This window comes from Homo sapiens, chromosome 1 (assembly GCF_000001405.40).
Source record: "Homo sapiens chromosome 1, GRCh38.p14 Primary Assembly".
NCBI lineage: Eukaryota > Metazoa > Chordata > Mammalia > Primates > Hominidae > Homo > Homo sapiens.
The window spans coordinates 33,832,115-33,850,785 of NC_000001.11; the positions used below are offsets into that span (position 1 = coordinate 33,832,115).

The 18,671-nt window shown below is 43.6% G+C and overlaps 1 protein-coding gene and 1 pseudogene across 12 annotated transcripts in view; one reads left to right on the forward strand and one right to left on the reverse strand.

The window, feature by feature from the left end:
- Positions 1 to 18,671, reverse strand: part of CSMD2 (CUB and Sushi multiple domains 2) — a 651,845-nt gene that overhangs the window by 318,117 nt on the left and 315,057 nt on the right. For all 12 annotated transcript variants that reach the window (XM_047443685.1, XM_047443656.1, NM_052896.5 and 9 more), the window contains exon 6: positions 14,770 to 14,882. In XM_047443685.1, the coding sequence (XP_047299641.1) occupies positions 14,770 to 14,882 (113 nt within the window). The remainder of the gene's footprint in view (positions 1 to 14,769; positions 14,883 to 18,671) is intronic.
- HSPD1P14 (heat shock protein family D (Hsp60) member 1 pseudogene 14) lies at positions 6,407 to 8,023 on the forward strand (annotated as a pseudogene).

Below are 18,671 nucleotides of genomic sequence, written 5' to 3' on the forward strand. Positions count from 1 at the left end.
TTAACAAGGATACCCAGGAATTGAACTCAGCTCTGCACCAAGTGGACCTAATAGACATCTACAGAACTCTCCACCCCAAATCAACAGAATATACATTCTTTTCAGCACCACACCATAACTATTCCAAAATTGACCACATAGTTGGAAGTAAAGCACTCCTCAGCAAATGTAAAAGAACAGAAATTATAACAAACTGTCTCTCAGAACACAGTGCAATCAAACTAGAACTCAGGATTCAGAAACGGACTCAAAACCGCTCAACTACGTGGAAACTGAACAACCTGCACTGGGTACATAACGAACTGAAGGCAGAAATAAAGATGTTCTTTGAAACCAAGGAGAACAAAGACACAACATACCAGAATCTCTGGGACACATTCAAAGCAGTGTGTAGAGGGAAATTTATAGCACTAAATGCCCACAAGAGAAAGCAGGAAAGATCCAAAATTGACACCCTAGCATCACAATTAAGAGAACTAGAGAAGCAAGAGCAAACATATTCAAAAGCTAGCAGAAGGCAAGAAATAACTAAAATCAGAGCAGAACTGTAGGAAATAGAGACACAAAAAACCCTTCAAAAAATTAATGAATCCAGGAGCTGGTTTTTTGAAAGGATCAACAAAATTGATAGACCGCTAGCAAGACTAATAAAGAAGAAAAGAGAGAAGAATCAAACAGACACAATAAAAAATGATAAAGGGGATATCACCACTGATCCCACAGAAATACAAACTACCATCAGAGAATACTACAAACATTTCTACGCAAATAAACTAGAAAATCTAGAAGAAATGGATAAATTCCTAGACACATACACCCTCCCAAGACTAAACCAGGAAGAAGTCGAATCTCTGAATAGACCAATAACAGGATCTGAAATTGTGGCAATAATCAATAGCTTACCAACCAAAAAGAGTCCAGGACCAGATGGATTCACAGCCGAATTCTACCAGAGGTACAAGGAGGAACTGGTACCATTCCTTCTGAAACTATTCCAATCAATAGAAAAAGAGGGAATCCTCCCTAACTCATTTTATGAGGCCGCCTCATACCTGATACCAAAGCCGGGCAGAGACACAATCAAAAAAGAGAATTTTAGACCAATATCCTTGATGAACATTGATGCAAAAATCCTCAATAAAATACTGGCAAACAGAATCCAGCAGCACATCAAAAAGCTTATCCACCATGATCAAATGAGCTTCATCCCTGGGATGCAAGGCTGGTTCAATATACGCAAATCAATAAATGTAATCCAGCATATAAACAGAGCCAAAGACAAAAACCACATGATTATCTCAATAGGGGCAGAAAAGGCCTTTGACAAAATTCAACAACCCTTCATGCTAAAAACTCTCAATAAATTAGGTATTGATGGGACGTATCTCAAAATAATAAGAGCTATCTATGACAAACCCACAGCCAATATCATACTGAATGGGCAAAAACTGGAAGCATTCCCTTTGAAAACTGGCACAAGACAGGGATGCCCTCTCTCACCACTCCTATTCAACATACTGTTGGAAGTTCTGGCCAGGGCAATCAGGCAGGAGAAGGAAATAAAGGGTATTCAATTAGGAAAAGAGGAAGTCAAATTGTCCCTGTTTGCAGATGACATGATTGTATATCTAGAAAACCCCATTGTCTCAGCCCAAAATCTCCTTAAGCTGATAAGGAACTTCAGCAGTCTCAGGATACAAAATCAATGTACAAAAATCACAAGCATTCTTATACACTAATAACAGACAAACAGAGAGCCAAATCATGAGTGAACTCCCATTCACAATTGCTTCAAAGAGAATAAAATACCTAGGAATCCAACTTACAAGGGATGTGAAGGAACTCTTCAAGGAGAACTACAAACCACTGCTCAATGAAATAAAAGAGGATACAACCAAATGGAAGAACATTCCATGCTCATGGGTAGGAAGAATCAATATCGTGAAAATGGCCATACTGCCCAAGGTAATTTATAGACTCAATGCCATCCCCATGAAGCTACCAATGCCTTTCTTCACAGAATTGGAAAAAACTACTTTAAAGTTCATATGGAACCAAAAAAGAGCCCGCATCGCCAAATCAATCCTAAGCCAAAAGAACAAAGCTGGAGGCATCACGCTACCTGACTTCAAACTACACTACAAGGCTACAGTAACCAAAACAGCATGGTACTGGTACCAAAACAGAGATATAGATCAATGGAACAGAACAGAGCCCTCAGAAATAACGCCGCATATCTACAACTATCTGATCTTCGACAAACCTGAGAAAAACAAGCAATGGGGAAAGGATTCCCTATTTAATAAATGGTGCTGGGAAAACTGGCTAGCCATATGTAGAAAGCTGAAACTGGATCACTTCCTTACACCTTATACAAAAATCAATCCAAGATGGATTAAAGACTTAAACGTTAGACCTAAAACCATAAAAACCCTAGAAGAAAACCTAGGCATTACCATTCAGGACATAGGCATGGGCAAGGACTTCATGTCTAAAACACCAAAAGCAATGGCAACAAAAGACAAAATTGACAAATGGGATCTAATTAAACTAAAGAGCTTCTGCACAGCAAAACAAACTACCATCAGAGTGAACAGGCAACCTACAAAATGGGAGAAAATTTTCGCAACCTACTCATCTGACAAAGGGCTAATATCCAGAATCTACAATGAACTCAAACAAATTTACAAGAAAAAAACAAACAACCCCATCAAAAAGTGGGCAAAGGACATGAACAGACACTTCTCAAAAGAAGACATTTATGCAGCCAAAAAACACATGAAAAACTGCTCACCATCACTGGCCATCAGAGAAATGCAAATCAAAACCACAATGAGATACCATCTCACACCAGTTAGAATGGCGATCATTAAAAAGTCAGGAAACAACAGGTGCTGGAGAGGATGTGGAGAAATAGGAAGACTTTTACACTGTTGGTGGGACTGTAAACTAGTTCAACCATTGTGGAAGTCAGTGTGGCGATTCCTCAGGGATCTAGAACTAGAAATACCATTTGACCCAGCCATCCCATTACTGGGTATATACCCAAAGGACTATAAATCATGCTGCTATAAAGACACATGCACATGTATGTTTATTGCGGCATTATTCACAATAGCAAAGACTTGGAACCAACCCAAGTGTCCAACAATGATAGACTGGATTAAGAAAATGTGGCACATATACACCATGGAATACTATGCAGCCATAAAAAATGATGAGTTCATGTCCTTTGTAGGGACATGGATGAAATTGGAAACCATCATTCTCAGTAAACTATCGCAAGAACAAAAAACCAAACACTGCGTATTCTCACTCATAGTGGGGAACTGAACAATGAGATCACATGGACACAGGAAGGGGAACATCACACTCTGGGGACTGTTGTGGGGTGGGGGTAGGGGGGAGGGATGGCATTGGGAGATATAACTAATGCTAGATGACGAGTTAGTGGGTGCAGCACACCAGCATGGCACATGTATACATATGTAACTAACCTGCACAATGTGTACATGTACCCTAAAACTTAAAGTATAATAATAATAAAATAAATTAAAACAAAACAAAACAAAACAAAAAAAACAAACAAAAATACATTTCAAAAAAAAAAAGGACTTCTCTGCATTGGTTATTCTAGTTAGCCATTTGTCTAATCTTTTTTCAAGGTTTTTAACTTCTTTGCCATGGGTTCGAACTTCATCCTTTAGCTCATCATAGTTTAATCATCTGAAGCCTTCTTCTCTTAACTCGTCAAAGTCATTCTCTGTCCAGCTTCGTTCCGTTGCTGGTGAGGAGCTGTGTTCCTTTGGAGGAGGAGAGGAGCTCTGATTTTTAGAATTTTCAGTTTTTCTGCTCTGTTTTTTCCCCATCTTTGTGGTTTTATCTACCTTTGGTCTTTGATGATGGTGACATACAGATGGGGTTTTGGTGTGGATGTCCTTTCTGTTTGTTAGTTTTCCTTCTAACAGTCAGGACCCTCAGCTGCAGGTGTGTTGGTGTTTGCCGGAGGTCCACTCCAGACCCTGTTTGCCTGGGTATCAGCAGCGAAGCCTGCAGAACAGCAGATATTGGTGAACAGCAAATGTTGCTGCCTGATCGTTCGTCTGGAAGTTTTGTCTCAGAGGAGTACCCGGCTGTGTGAGGTGTCAGTCTGCCCCTACTGGGGGGTGCCTCCCAGTTAGGCTACTCGGGGGTCAGGTTCCCACTTGAGGAGGCAGTCTGCCCGCTCTCAGATCTTGAGCTGCGTGCTGGGAGAACCACTACTCTCTTCAAAGCTGTCAGACAGGGACATTTAAGTCTGCAGAAGTTTCTGCTGCCTTTTGTTTGGCTATACCCTGTCCCCAAAGGTGGAATCTACAGAGGCAGACCAGCATCCTGGAGTTGTGGTGGGCTTCACCCAGTTCGAGCTTCCCAGCCGCTTTGTTTACCTACTCAAGCCTCAGCAATGGTGGGCACCCCTCCCCTAGCCTCGCTGCCACCTTGCAGTTTGATCTCAGACTGCTGTGCTAGCAATGAGCGAGGCTCCGTGGGTGTAGGACCCTCTGAGCCATGCGTGGGATATAATCTCCTGGTGTGCCATTTGCTAAGACTGTCGGAAAAGCACATTATTAGGGTGGGAGTGACCCGATTTTCCAGGTGCCGTGCATCACCCCTTTCCTTGGCTAGGAAAGCGAATTCCCCAACCCCTTGCACTTCCTGGGTGAGGCCATGCCTCGCCCTGCTTCGGCTCAGGCTCAGTGCACTGCATCCACTGTCCTGCACCCACTCTCCGACAATCCCCAGTGAGATGCATCCAGTACCTCAGTTGGAAATGCAGAAATCATTCATCTTCTGCGTCGCTCACGCTGGGAGCTGTAGACTGGAGCTGTTCCTATTCGGCCATCTTGGCTCCACCTCCAGAATATTAGCATTAAGACATCACTTCCAGATGCTGGGGTCTCAGTTTTTGAGCAATCCCAGGGAAGCAGTCACACCCTGAGTTATATATAGCCATCTTGTTTTTTTAACAGTCTGCTCAGGTGGGTGGGGTGATGAGTGATCATGGAATGTGCAGCACCATGGGAAATCAGCCATGAAATAAGCTCATTGAAGAGCTAACTCAACAGACTGGGACAGACCAGGTTGTGAGAGTCAGAGAACAAAGGCAGGTCTCCAAAACTCCAGAGTGCACTACCAGCAGACCCAGTCAGAAAAGAAGGTCAAAACAAGAAGATGAACAACATAGAAAGAACATAGAGAATTTCTGGGATATATTCATTCATGTTGTTTGTACATGGATTTTTTTTCATGGAGCACCCACTAGCCTTGTCCCAATGATATTATACTGAACCACTTGTCTGTAAAAAGAAGTTTTTTACTATCAATGCAGTGGAGGTAAAATGGAACCTGGGGCTGGCTCAATGGTCTGGCTACAATTTAATGCACACCCCCGATAGTATGCTTAATATTCACTGGGCTGCTTCTCGTACTGTGCCCTTACCCATGCATACATGCACATTTCTGCGTATAACAAGCACACTCACAAGTACATATTCAAGCACATGTAAACACATGGATACAAATATTCACATACAAAAAAGAAGTCATACACATCATACATATATTCTGTGCATGGTTTTCACTGTATGTGAACAAAGTCAGGACTCCCAAGGGAAAAGTGCTGGCTGTAACTGGTTGATGGAAATCTTACTAGGTACATTCATCTCCTCCGAATGATAATGACTACAGGAGACTGCCAGGCTGCTCCATTCATCCTTTATATTCTGGTTAATTACAAGACATTTTCCCGCTGTTGTAAAGGTTAGCGGGACACATGGTACACATTTAGCTAGAAGAATCTGGCAATACAAATGTCTCTCTAGTCTGCAGCATGACTTACTGGGCTGAGCTAGTGGGAGACAAGGACCTGTTAGGAGAGGAGAGAGCAAAGGGAGGCCTAACCTGTCTCCAAGGCTCTGGGAGTCAAGAAGTGGAGGGAATCTGCATCTTCTTTTCTTCCCAATGGATTCAGACTTCCCTCTATGAGGGTGAGCCCCTCCAATAAACTAGATCATTCCCCTTGCCCTGCCACTTGCCAGTCTTGCTGGCTGAACCATCTTTTCCTTTCCTGCCACTACTCCTTCTCCAAATCCAATTTGCTCAGCCTTATACAATTTCTCCAATGTGTATCCTTCTTTCAATGTTCTAAGACACTCCTACCTATACTCATCCTTTTTTGCTAGAGTTTTCTTTGCAGATTCATCCCCTCCAGCCCATCTTTTAAAAAGTTGCAGGGGGTGATCTTTCAAAAACTGAAATCTGACCTTGCCTTTTTCCTACTTGAAAAATTGTTGGGTATACATCCTGCATTCTGCCCCTCCCTTGTAGCTGAGGGCTGCCTTGCCATTTAGCCACCTACCCTGCAGAAATGCTTTCATTACCCACAGTCTTTTGCCAGATGAAGCCAGGGTTTGGCACACTGGTTCCTCACCTCACTCAGAATTATCCCAAAGATGGACAATGCAGTGCACATGCTTGAGACCTAATGCTTCAAGGTACAGACCTTCTAGCAGGTGCTGTAGCCATTACTATGATGCCAAAGGGAAGAACAGTGATTCCTGAACAGAGATAGGGAAGCCTCAAAGTAACAGAAGATGATGTGTCTGTTGCGGGTCAATTGACTTACAAGATAAATGTTGGCACCAGATTTGATCAGGATGTTGCCAACACACAAATGAAGAGGGTGGGGTGGCACCACCATTGCTACTGTACTGGCATGCTCCATCACCATGGAAGGCTTGGTAGAGATTAGCAAAGGTGTTAATCCAGTGGAAACCAGGAAAGGTGTGATGTTATGTGCTGATACTGTAATTACCAAACTTAAGAAGCAGCCTAAACCTGTGACAACTCCTGAAGAGATTTCTCCATTTACACAATGTCTGCAAATGGAGACAAACAAATCAGCAATATCATTTCTGATGTAATCACAAATGTTGGAAGGGTGTCATCACAGTAAAGGACAGAAAAATACTGAATGAATTAGACAACAGAGATTGACCAAGATTACATCTCTTCCTACTTGAATAACATATGAGAAGTCCAGAAAGGAGAATTCTAGGATGCTTGGGATTTCCAGTAAGCAGTTAATTGTACCCACCTTAAAATTGCCAATGTCCACTGAAAGTCTTTGGTCATAATTGCTGAAGATGCTCTCAGTATGATCATTTAAAATAGGATAAAAGTTGGCATTTGGGCTACAGTAGTCAAAACTCCAGGCTTTGGTGACACAGAAAGACCAAACAAAGCTATTGCTATAATGGCATGGTGTTTGGAAGAGAGCTTGACCCTAAAGCTTGAAGATGTTCAGTTTCATGACTTAGGAAAAGTTGGAGCAGTCATTGTGACCAAAGATGATGCCATGTTCTTGGAAGGAAAAGGTGACAAGACTCAAACTGAGAAAAATATGCAAGAAATAATTGAGCAGTTAGATGTTACTATTAGTGTCTATGAAAAAGGAAAACTAGAAGAACATCCGGCAAAATTTTGGATGCAATAGCTGTGCTGAAGGTTGATGGGAAAAATGATGTGGAAGAGAATGAAAAAAACAGAGTCAGATACACTGAATGTTACAGGAGTTACAATTGAAAAAGATATCATTTGGGTGTTTTGCCTTGGTACATTTCATCCTTAGATTCACTGCTCCAGCTAATGAAGAGTAAAAAGTTAGTATAGAAATAATTAAAAGAACACTCAAAATTCTGGCAATAGCTATTGCTAAGAATTCAGGTGTTGAAGGATCACCCACCGACAGTCGAGAAAATTATGCAAAGCTCCCCAGAAGCTGGTTATGCACTACGCTCAGAGATTTTTTGAAAATGGTAGAAAAAATAATCATCAACTCAACTAAGGTTGTAAAAAGTGCTTTGTTGGATGCTGCTTCCGTGGATTCTCAGTTAACCACAGCAAAACTGAGACCACTGGAATTCCTAAAGAAGAGAAGGATCTGGCATGGTAAATGGGAAGCAGTGTTGGGAGTAGCATGTTCTAGTTCCCAGAATAGTGCTTTGTCATTATTAATAAGCCATGTGGGGTTATTCACTAACTTCGGTGAATTCAGCTGGAGACAATGATGAGAGGAAAGAGAGATGTTTAAGAAATCACTCTAGCCATTGGTTATTGGTTTTGATAGCCTATGCGGCCTAAGCAATACTGTTTTCTCTACCTGGGACATTCTTTCCTCCCCTTCTCTGCCTGGCTACCTCTTATTTGTAGGTACCCAGGACTTCACTCAAATGTTATTGCCTCCCTATGGGTGTCTACATCTCTCAGGTAGAAGTCATTGCCCTCCTCAAGACTTCCTTCAGACCTCTGTTGAAACCCCAACGCACTGCAAAATCATGTCCTGTTCTTCTAGCTGTTGCCCCATGAGCTTGTGCATCTATATTCTGTGATGACACTGAACCAGGCACACAGAAGTTTCCCAGTGACAGTTTGATGACTGAGTGAATGAACGACTGTTATAAGAATATGTGCTTTAAATTCATTTCCTGTCAAAAGGAGTGGGTTACGCTTGAAACCTGGTGAGGTCACGGGTGCCATATTTTGTGTGCCTACATCAGTAACAGGCTCACTCTGGACTGAACTCACGAGCTCAGTTTTGTGGACCCTGGGCTCCTGAGCCAAGCAGCAACAAGCCTGCAATTTTTGCAGAGACCTTTGGAGGTGCAGAACCTGGAAATTAGGCTGGAAAGTTTAGCAGATCAGCAGGCCAAGAATAGGACAAAAGAGTCAGAACATGGACCACAGGATGCCTGAAGCACTTTCATTCTGGCCTCAGATTGAAGCCAAGTCACAGGCAAGAACCCAACATGTTCAATGGAAAACAGAAGCTTCAGCTTGTTATTATAAAAAGCCTCAACCATCTCAGTAAATGCAAATGTTTTCAAATGAATAAGTTTATTCTGCAGACAATTGAAACTCAGTGCAGGACTTCTAGAAGGCAAAGGAGCCAATGGTTTTCACTGTGGAATATCTTCCATCTCTCAGTCAGCAGGGTTGACTTGGCAAGAGAGGCAGTGACAGGTATAGGAAAGGCAGGCTGGGATCTGACTGAAGGGAGGGGCCAAATGACGATCATTAGGTCAGAGTGGAAAGCAAAGAGCAGGTGTCTAAGGGAGAGCCAGAGGCACCAGCTCTTTCTCACTGTGCAAGGGTTTCACCATTTAACAAGTGAGTCAAAGTGATTGATGAATATGAGGATTGAGGGTTCCACTTCCTCAGAACCTACCAAGTGCCAGGTATTTTATACTGGGATCTTCTTTCATTTCCAATAGCCCTGTAGGGTTAACAAGAGCCCCTCTCTACAGATGAGGAGGGAGATAATGAGGGTGCTGTCCTCCCAGCCAGGGAAGCCCCTCACCAGTTGTGATTAGCAGGCATTGAGTGCATTAAGAAAGGTTCTTCTCACCATCATTTCCATAGACTTGAAACATTCCTGGCCTGGAGGCAGACGGATTGATTACACAACCTCAATAGGCCTACCAGAACTGAAAAAAAAAACCTTAAGGAACTTTAAAGTCTTGTGGTTGCCAAACACTTTGGCTACAGGAACTTATCATTTTAACATACTCTTAGGTAAATACCCACTACATAAAATACTTCAAAGAGAAACTGCTCAGGTTGAAGTAGGGGTGGAAACCTGAAGTCCCACCCACTCAGCCACTATCAAACCATGCTGGAGGACCTGTTAGTCTCCAAGGAACCCAATTTGAAAACCACTTTTTTGGCCCTATCCTCTCATGTTATACATGGGGAGGGGAATGGTGGTCTCAGCCTCTACTTTGGTTTGAACTTTTCACATCATTATCTCTAGCCCAGACCCTTCTTCCCTGAGCTACAGACCCACAGAATAGTTAACTGCTCACTAGATAGTCTCCCAATCCCTGACATCCCAACATTACCCAGAATCAATGTGTCCCAAGCAAACTTCATCCCCCATCTGTTTCTGCCCCAGACCATCTTTGTTAATATCATTTTGCTAAAACCACTTAAGCTAGATTCATCCCTGACTCCTTCATCTCCTTCAACCCCATCCCCTCCCACTCCCACCAAATCTAACTAGCCATGAGTCCAGTGGGGTTTACCAGAAATACATTTGGTCTGTCCCTTCCTTTTCATCTTCACTCCTGTTTAAACTCTGGCCCTTGTTACCAATTCCCCAAGATTCTTAACCATTTTCTCAATTTGGATTCTAGGGCAAAGATCTTCCTAAAACGAAAATGTGATCACGTCTCCCCTTTCATTAACAACTTCTGATCACTTCTCATCTATGACTCATGGAATCAAGCCCAACTCTACTGAGACTTTCACAACTTGACCACTACCACACTTTCCAGTCTCAGTGCTCGCTACCTATCCTGCTTGCTTTTCTCTAGGTGGCAGACTTGCCTCTAGGTTGGCAAACTTTTTCTGTAAAGGGCCTGATAGTAAATATATTAGGCCTGTGGGCCTCTTGTGTCAGTCATAAACTGCTCAGCTCTGCCCTGGCAGTGCTAAAGCAGCCATAGACCAGGTGTAAATGAATGAGCGTAGCTGTGTTTCAATAAACCTTTCTGGACACTGAAATGTGAATTTCATGCAGTTTTCATGTGTCACGAAATATTATTTTTTTCAATTTTCTTTTCTTCAACTGTTCAAAAATGTAAAACCCATTCTTTGATGGAGGGCCATAGAAAGGCAGGTGGAGGGCCGGATTTGGTCTGTGACTGCTGCTTTAGACGCATGGAAGTAGTTGTGGTTCATTAGATGTGGTAGTTTCATGCTTTCTTGCCTTTGCTTGACCTGGAACATATCTTCCCATGGTCTGTCTGGCATCTTTCTGAGACCCACATTTAAGTCACTGCCTCTTTTTTGGCTTTCCTTAAATCCTTCTGGCAAAACTAATTGCCCTTTTATCTCTAGCCCAGGAACTCTTAATCAGGCCTCAATTACAGCTCTTATCATGCTGTACAGAAGTTATAGATTTATGTCTGTGCCTCTCTTTAACCTGTTCTCCTTAAGAGCAGAGATTGGCCTAGGCGCATTCATCTTTTTTGCTGTCACATAGTAATGTCACCCCAAAATGCTTGTTAAACTGAACACAGTTGCCTACCTCCTGATAACCAGTCCGAAGCAGAGCCCGACTAGAACTCAGGCCTTCTGATACCCTGTGGTATTAGGTAAAATTGTGTCTGGCCACAGACATCCTAAATTCTGATTGGACTGAGACCAGAATATAATGTACTATGTTGTAGGTTATCTTTTATTTTAAGTTTACTTCTTTTTGTTTATCTGGGAAAAAATCTCTGTCAATACCATTAGAAGTTGGTAATCATTAGCTCTGAAGTGCCATAAATCACTTAAGACTATAGTGCCACAAAGCTGACTGTGGGTGAAACTGATCCAATGCCAGTGATTCTTCCCCTGCCCTTCCAGGTCCATTCTTTAAACCTCTCTGCCCTGTTCTGTGCCCCAAGAAGCTGATCTCTGTGGACTGCTAGAGAGCAAGGGAGCCTGGTGGTAATGCCAGCCAGAGATCCCAGGGCAGGGAGCAGGACAGAGCAGGGCCTCTGTTTCCTTGCTCTTGGCTTCCTGTTGGATTGGCAGATGGGAAGCACAGTGGATGGGAGAGAGAGAGGAGAGAGGTCAAGCTACTGATCCCCTGATCCCCTCCTCACGCCCTGGCTACTATGGATCCCTGTGGTCCCCTCCTCCTGCACTGCAGGTAGGGAATAGCTTTCCAGGTCTGCCAAGGGGCAGACCTCTCTTCTATGGCTCCAGCTCTTGCCACCTTCTTCCCTGGTCCCTTTGCACACCTAGTGGTGGTGTAGGCCACCTGCTGCTTAGTCCTCAGGGGCCTCACCATCTCTTGCGGGCTCCTTTGACTCCACCCTCACCTCTGTACATTGTGCCTTCACTAAACCCTCTACCGTTAAAGCTGTGCAGTATTCCTCCTGTCTCCCGCTGGACCCCTGACTGAAATCTATTTCTGCCACTGTTTTAGGGTGTATTTGCAATAATAAAGCTTAGCTTGGTCTTTCCTGGCTCCAGAGTTTTTATTCCTTCAGAGTAGTAGTTGTCAACTGGAGGTGCTTGTGCACATAGGGACATCTGGCAATGTCTGGAGACTTTTTTGGTTGTCATGACTGTGTGTGTGTGGGGGGGCGCTGCTAATGGCTGCTGGTCCCTGTGGCTCCCTCCTACTGCACTGTGTCTAGCATCTAATGGGCAGAGGCCAAGCACGCTGCTAAACATCCTGCTATGCACAGGACACTTCCTCACAACAAAGAATTATCCAGCTCACAATGTCAATAGCGCAGAGCCTGAGAAACCTTGCTTTAGAAAGTCAACAATGGAGTTACTAAACGATCACTGTATATCCTTGCACTATGCGGTCTCAGTCAGGAAAACACTAGAAAAAGCAGGTTTCAAGGAAGAATCATTTATTAACAGAATCACAATAATTGAGCATGCCAGACCCAAATCAACACTGCTGGGCTGCAAATCCTGGCTCCTACATACTATTAATGAGACCTGAGCCAGCTAGTTACCCTCTCTATGACTCTCGTTCCTCAACTGTAAAATGGGACGGGTAATAGTATCTCCTTCACGCAGTTGCTGTTAGGATTGAACAAAGTAATAAATGCCAAGCGCTTAAAATCTAGCAAGTCCTCTTTATACACTGGCGCACACTAACATGCAAAACTTCATTCTGGGCTATGCTAAGGATGATAGAGGGAACAGAGAACAGGGCCTGCTTTCAAGAAGTTTGCAACTAAAACAGTGCTTTTTAGATTGTGAGTTGTTCCCTGCTGCAGATTTGTAAAATTAATTTAGAGGCTGCAACTAGCATTTAAAAATAAAAATGACATTTTCAGACTACATTGTACACAGTAAATACCACTTGGTCATATTTTCCTTTTAGCTCTACAGATATATGCTTATACTGGGTTGTGATTTTGTTTTTTACAGTGGGGTGGGATGAGCAAAACAAAGTTTGAAAGCTACGGTTAATAGGAAATGGAAGACACCCAAAGCACCATCAGAGGAGGCCCTGTAATTCTGCAAATACAGAATGAATTAGAGCTTTACAGCTCACAGGCTGTGTGATCTTGGGCTAGTTACAACCTCTCTGAGCCCCAGCTTCCTCAGCTGGAGAAAAAATAAACAGAAATAAAAACAAATGTATCACTTTACTGTGGGGAGTACTGAGTGGGGCAATGTACATACAGTGCCTAGCACGGGGCCTGGTGTGCACAGATGTGGAATCGATGTGTGATCTGGAGACTGCCAGGCTTGGGTTCTTGTCGCCCATTGCTGGCATCAAACCTTAACCTTAAAAACTGACAAATGGGCCCTCAGTAACTTGAAATATTAGAAACACCCAGCACTTACTTAATCAGATACAATTATAGCATTCATCTCTGCTTTTGTCTTTTGAGAAACACAGCAGAAAGATACAGACAGCTGTTCCACTCACACAAAGACCCAACCTCAGCAGTGGAAAAAACATCTCCAAGAAAGCTCTCAGGGTAAGCCTTTGTTAAGCTACTGAACCAAGTTGGTTTCTTGTTTACTTTCTAGATATTTCAAATGGGTACACCACCCAAGGCTAAGTAAATTAGGCCGTTCCTAAAAGGTTCAGATTTTGAACGTAACGCTTCTTCCTTCAGAGCTGCTTTTATCCCAGTTTCCAGCCAGAAAGCCTGGCCCTAGGAGCCTTGTGGAGGGGGCACTACTCTGCCCTATGCTACCTTGAGGGTGAGCCAGCAGGCATTTGGCCTTGGAGCCCAGGGCTTCACACAGGTCCTTATACTTAATAGGTACACAATATAAGCTTGCTGTCTATTCTATTAAAACCAATAACAATTTGAGAGTGGTAATAGCTAAAGGCTTAATGAGCATGTTATGAGGCCAACCCTTGGTGTTTATCTCTATAAATTTTGAGTACTTTGAATAAACGCAATGTCGAAAAGGAATGTGCTCATCCGCTCCCATCTATCAGCTGGATTTTTGGATCTCTTCCAGTTACAGACAGCTCCTTGCTTCTGGGTTAACCCACTCCTTTTTATAGGTGGTTCTTGGGTTGGGAAATTCTTCATTATTGCAGCAGAAATCTGCTTAGCTGCGATCTCCACCTGCCATTCCTGGTCTGATCTGTTGCCACTAGACAGTTCTTCACAGATTTGAGCATCAAAGCTATCATGCTCCCTAAAGTGATTTTGGAATATATTCATGTTTTAGATAAAATGAAAAAGAGTAGAAATGTAGGCTGCAGAGGTCAGCAAAGGCTGGTGGTTAAGAGGGTGGGCTCCAGACTCAAAAGGCAGGAGTTCAGATGGCCTTGGGAAATTGGCTTAACCTCTCTGGGCCTTAGCTTCCTTGTCCATAAAGTGAGGTGATGACCGTGTTTCCTTTGCAGGATAATGATGAAGATTAAAGGAGATGCTACTTGCCAAGTGCCTAGCACTGTGCCTGGCTCTTAGCAGGCATCTGGTATTAACTATTATGATTAGCCTGGCATGTGAGGGGCAGCTCCAGCTACATAATTTGGGAAACATCCCTCTCTGGGGCAAAAGACAAGGGCAGATGCAGAGATGCAAATCTGCAGACCTCTGGTCTGCAAATAGAAACGTACAAAGAAGGCAAGGATGCCTGAAGCCACACCGGACCCAGTAGGGAGAGGTGATGAGCCCTCCAGGTGTCATCTCTGCTGCCCACTGAGGAAGCCAGACAGTCCTGGGACCTGCCTACCTTGGTATTGGGCACTGAATCCGCGCTGCCGGTGGTTGCCATCCGATGTGAAGTGCAGTCGCAGCCAGTTCTTGCTGCTGATAACGGGGGCTGGGAGGCTGGCTCCGGTGAACCTGTGGGAACAGGAAGCAGATGGGCTCAGGGACCAGAGCTGAGTGGTATAGGTGTATGAGCATTCAGGAGTTCCTCCACTTCCCTTGAGTGCCAAGGCCTCAGCCCAGCTCTGGAGCAGGAAGGGAAGGCGGTGTTGCCCCAGGCCCCTCCAGTACCCTAGGCCTGAGCAGCTTGAGATGGCTCCTCCAGGGTCTCATCCCACTGCTGGGTTTCCCTCAGCTGCTGGGAGGAGGCAACTGATCCTTCAGACCACAGCACCTCCTGCTTAAATTCCCTAAGCATTCCATCCTTTTTCTTTTTTCTAGTTCTTTGCCTTTTCTGCTTGGAATATATTCACCTGTAACGCTTTCTCCTGCCCATCCATGTCCCCCAAGATGACTTTGGGAAGCCCCTTAAGTATCACATCTGCAGTAAAGCATTCCCTACTCTCCTTGGCTTTGAAGCACAGATTTGGGTTCTTATCCAGGTTTCACCAGTGTGACCTTGGACCTGTTACTTAACCTTTTGGAGAACAGGAGTAATACCAGCCCTAAGAGTTTGTAGGAATAAGTAAGAAATCTTACGCACAAAGAATCGAGGTCAGTATCTGGCACATGTTAGCTTAATAAATATAATTTTCCTTTGTCTTCCTCTGTGATGCCACAACATTTTATTCAAATTATAATTCAGTTATAGAAGTGTGTGGTTTCCTTAAGATAACTCCTCAAAGGGGGCAATGTGGCCTAGTAGTGAAGAAACTTGAGCTCTGGAGGGATCAGCTGTGTGAGCTCAGGAAAACTACAGAAACCCTCTGAGACTTAGTGACCTTATCTAAAACATGGGGATCATGATGACCCCTCCCTCAAAAGCTTGCAAGGATTAAATGAGATAATACACAAAAGAAGATCTCAGCACAGTCCCTGGCAATAACAAGCTGTCAGTAACGGCAGCTGCTGTTCCATTCTTCATCTTGATTTCCAGCTTCTAACACCATACTGGACACAAAGTAGGCATTTCAGGGTTCCAGCAGAAAACAGGTGTCACAGTCATGTAAGAAGAGTCCCAGGAGTTTGATGAGTGACTCTTTTGCATAGGTCCTTATACCCTTTCTCTATACTCTTTCACATAGGTCCTTATATCCTATGTGAAACAGTCATTCATCAAACTCTTGGAACTATAAAGGTGAGGGCCGACTATGGGGGAACCACCCGGGAGGGGCAGTATCCTGGGGCTGGCAACTGAGGGACTTGTTACCACTCCCAATCCTGGAGCAGAGAGAAAATAGTTATCTCCAAACAGGGGGCTGCATGTAAGAAGACACCATATAGGACCCAGATCTTCTTTCACAATCTGGGGCTATAGCCAATTTGTGAAAAGCCCATCAAGAGGAGGCAAAGAATGAATACGCAGAACTCACTCTCTTCCTTCCCCTCCTCCAGTCTCCCACTGATTCTCCTGTTGATCTAGCCCAACTGGAAGCCAGAGAGCAAGAGAGCATACTGATGCAGCCCCTTAGGTAAGTATTCTCAGGCATGGAGCAAGGAGAAGGCAAGGGAGAGGATCTGGAGGTGCAAATGGAAGACATCCAGCATAGTGGGTCTTCATAAATATGCATTAAACAAAAGAACTAACCAAGGAGCTTCACGCACTGCAAAACTGAATTCTTACTAAATGAAAATGCTGACACACACCAAACTTCAGGAATATAACCCATACCGCTATGGTAAAAACTATTATAAAAACCAATTACTGTATTTCACCAGATCCCATTTAAAATAGTTTATTACAGACTGAGTCATTTAAGTTTTCTAAGGAGCCACAAACGTATTGTGGGTTTTTTTTTTTTTTTCTCCAGGCCAAATTCAATTCTATCTCAATGACAAAGCTTGGAGGCTATTTATATAAGGGAAGTAGAAGTAGGGAGAATCTACCTGAATAATTCAGGACCAAAAGCTCTTTATTGCAAAATGGAATGAGGGGAGGGTGCTGAGGTCTCAAGAGCAGGATGAGATTAATGATCAAGATTGCAGCAGGAAGTCAGTGAGACTTCCCCGGCCTGTGAGATCAGGAGAAGCCCTAAGGGGCATCTCCCACCTCCCATTTCTCCCACACATTTACCCACTCCTAGAAATCCTGTTAACTGTTAATTTCCGAGGCTTAAACTCTCAGGGCCCTGTGTTGCCCATGCAGCTTTACTCTGTTCTGCTCCTACCTCCCTGGACACAAATGTTGGGCAGTTGAGAGTTTTCTTGGCATCTATCAAAGAATTGGGGGCTTACATGGCAGAATCATCACATCAGACTCTGCCATTGAGATGGTGTCATGCCTTGCTCGAAACTCTCCAATGAAAGGAACCAGCTACCAATACCTGCAACATGGATGACTCTTAAAAGCATTATGTTGGGCCATCAAAGAGGATATACTGAGAGTATATACTGAGTGACTCATTCATATGAAACTCTGCAAAAGAGTTTAGTGAGAGAAAGCAGATTAGTGGTTGTCAGAGCTGGGGGTGAGAGATAAAGGTTGGGGACTGCCTGGCTGGGAAATAGTGCAAGGAACATTTGGGGGTGATGGAAATGTCTTACATCTCAAATGAGATGTTGATTAGATGAGATGTACACATTGGGCAAACTCCAAGGAACTGTACATTTAAAATAGGTAATTTACAGCCAGTCACAGTGGCTCACGCCTGTATTCCCAGGGTTTTGAGAGGCCAAGCGGGGAGGATTGCTTGAGCCTAGCAGTTGGAGACCAGCCTGGGCAAGACAGTGAGACCCCATTTTATTTACCTATTTACTTATATTTTGGATAGCATCTCCAAAATATAAGTAAATAGGTAAATAAAATAAATGGTAATTTTATTTTATGTAAACTATATTATAATAGAGTTAGTGAAAAACAAATCAAAACAAAACGAACCTTCAATGGATCCAATCCTCAGGGTAAAAGACCTTATTATAGCCTATAAGGCCTTGAAAAAGCCACTCTTCCTTTCCTTTTCCTGCCTCCTCCTCTTTACCCTTTATGCCCCAGCCACAGATATCTCCTCACTGTTCAAAACTGGCCAGGCCTGCTCCTGCCTCAGGGTCTTTGCAGTTGACATCCCTTCTGCCTGCTACACTGGCACTTCTCCCAGAACTCCACCTGGCTTAGCCCCTCGCTTCCTCCAAGGCTTTGAACAAATGTCACCTTCTCAGTGAAGCCTTCCCGGTTTGACTCCTGCCTGCCTTTCACCCTGAGTGTGCACGCACACACACACACACACAGTTCTCCCGTCAAACAGAAGAGTTCATGTATTCAGGAATACACGTTGTTCTTTTGTGCTTCTCTGTCTTTGCCCTTGATGCTCTTTATGCCTTTTCTCACTGTACCACCTGGCTGCACAGAGAGGTAAAGAAACTTGTTCATGGTCACACAGCTATTAAGTGGCAGAGGTGGGATTTAAATCCAGCCATCCCATCCAGAGCCTATGCATTCAGCCACTGCATTACACTCACATGTACATGCAAGCATGAAGGAAGGCAGTGGAATCATTTAGGCTGAATTCCATTCTGTTCCTCTTCTCCCCCCTCCTGACTTCCCCCAGGATCCTCTTTAATTTTGCTCCCTCTTAGAATCATAATTAAAGGAGAGAAACACAAAGAGAGATTCTCCCTTTCAAACCTTTCTGTCCACATTAACTTCACTACGGGGGGCTTGGGGAATTCCAAGTTCACCCAGAAAATTGCTATTGCAGTACAACATAAAATGTATTTAAGCAATTACACTCAATTTTTTTTTTCTTTTTGGTAAATTGACTTCTGTTA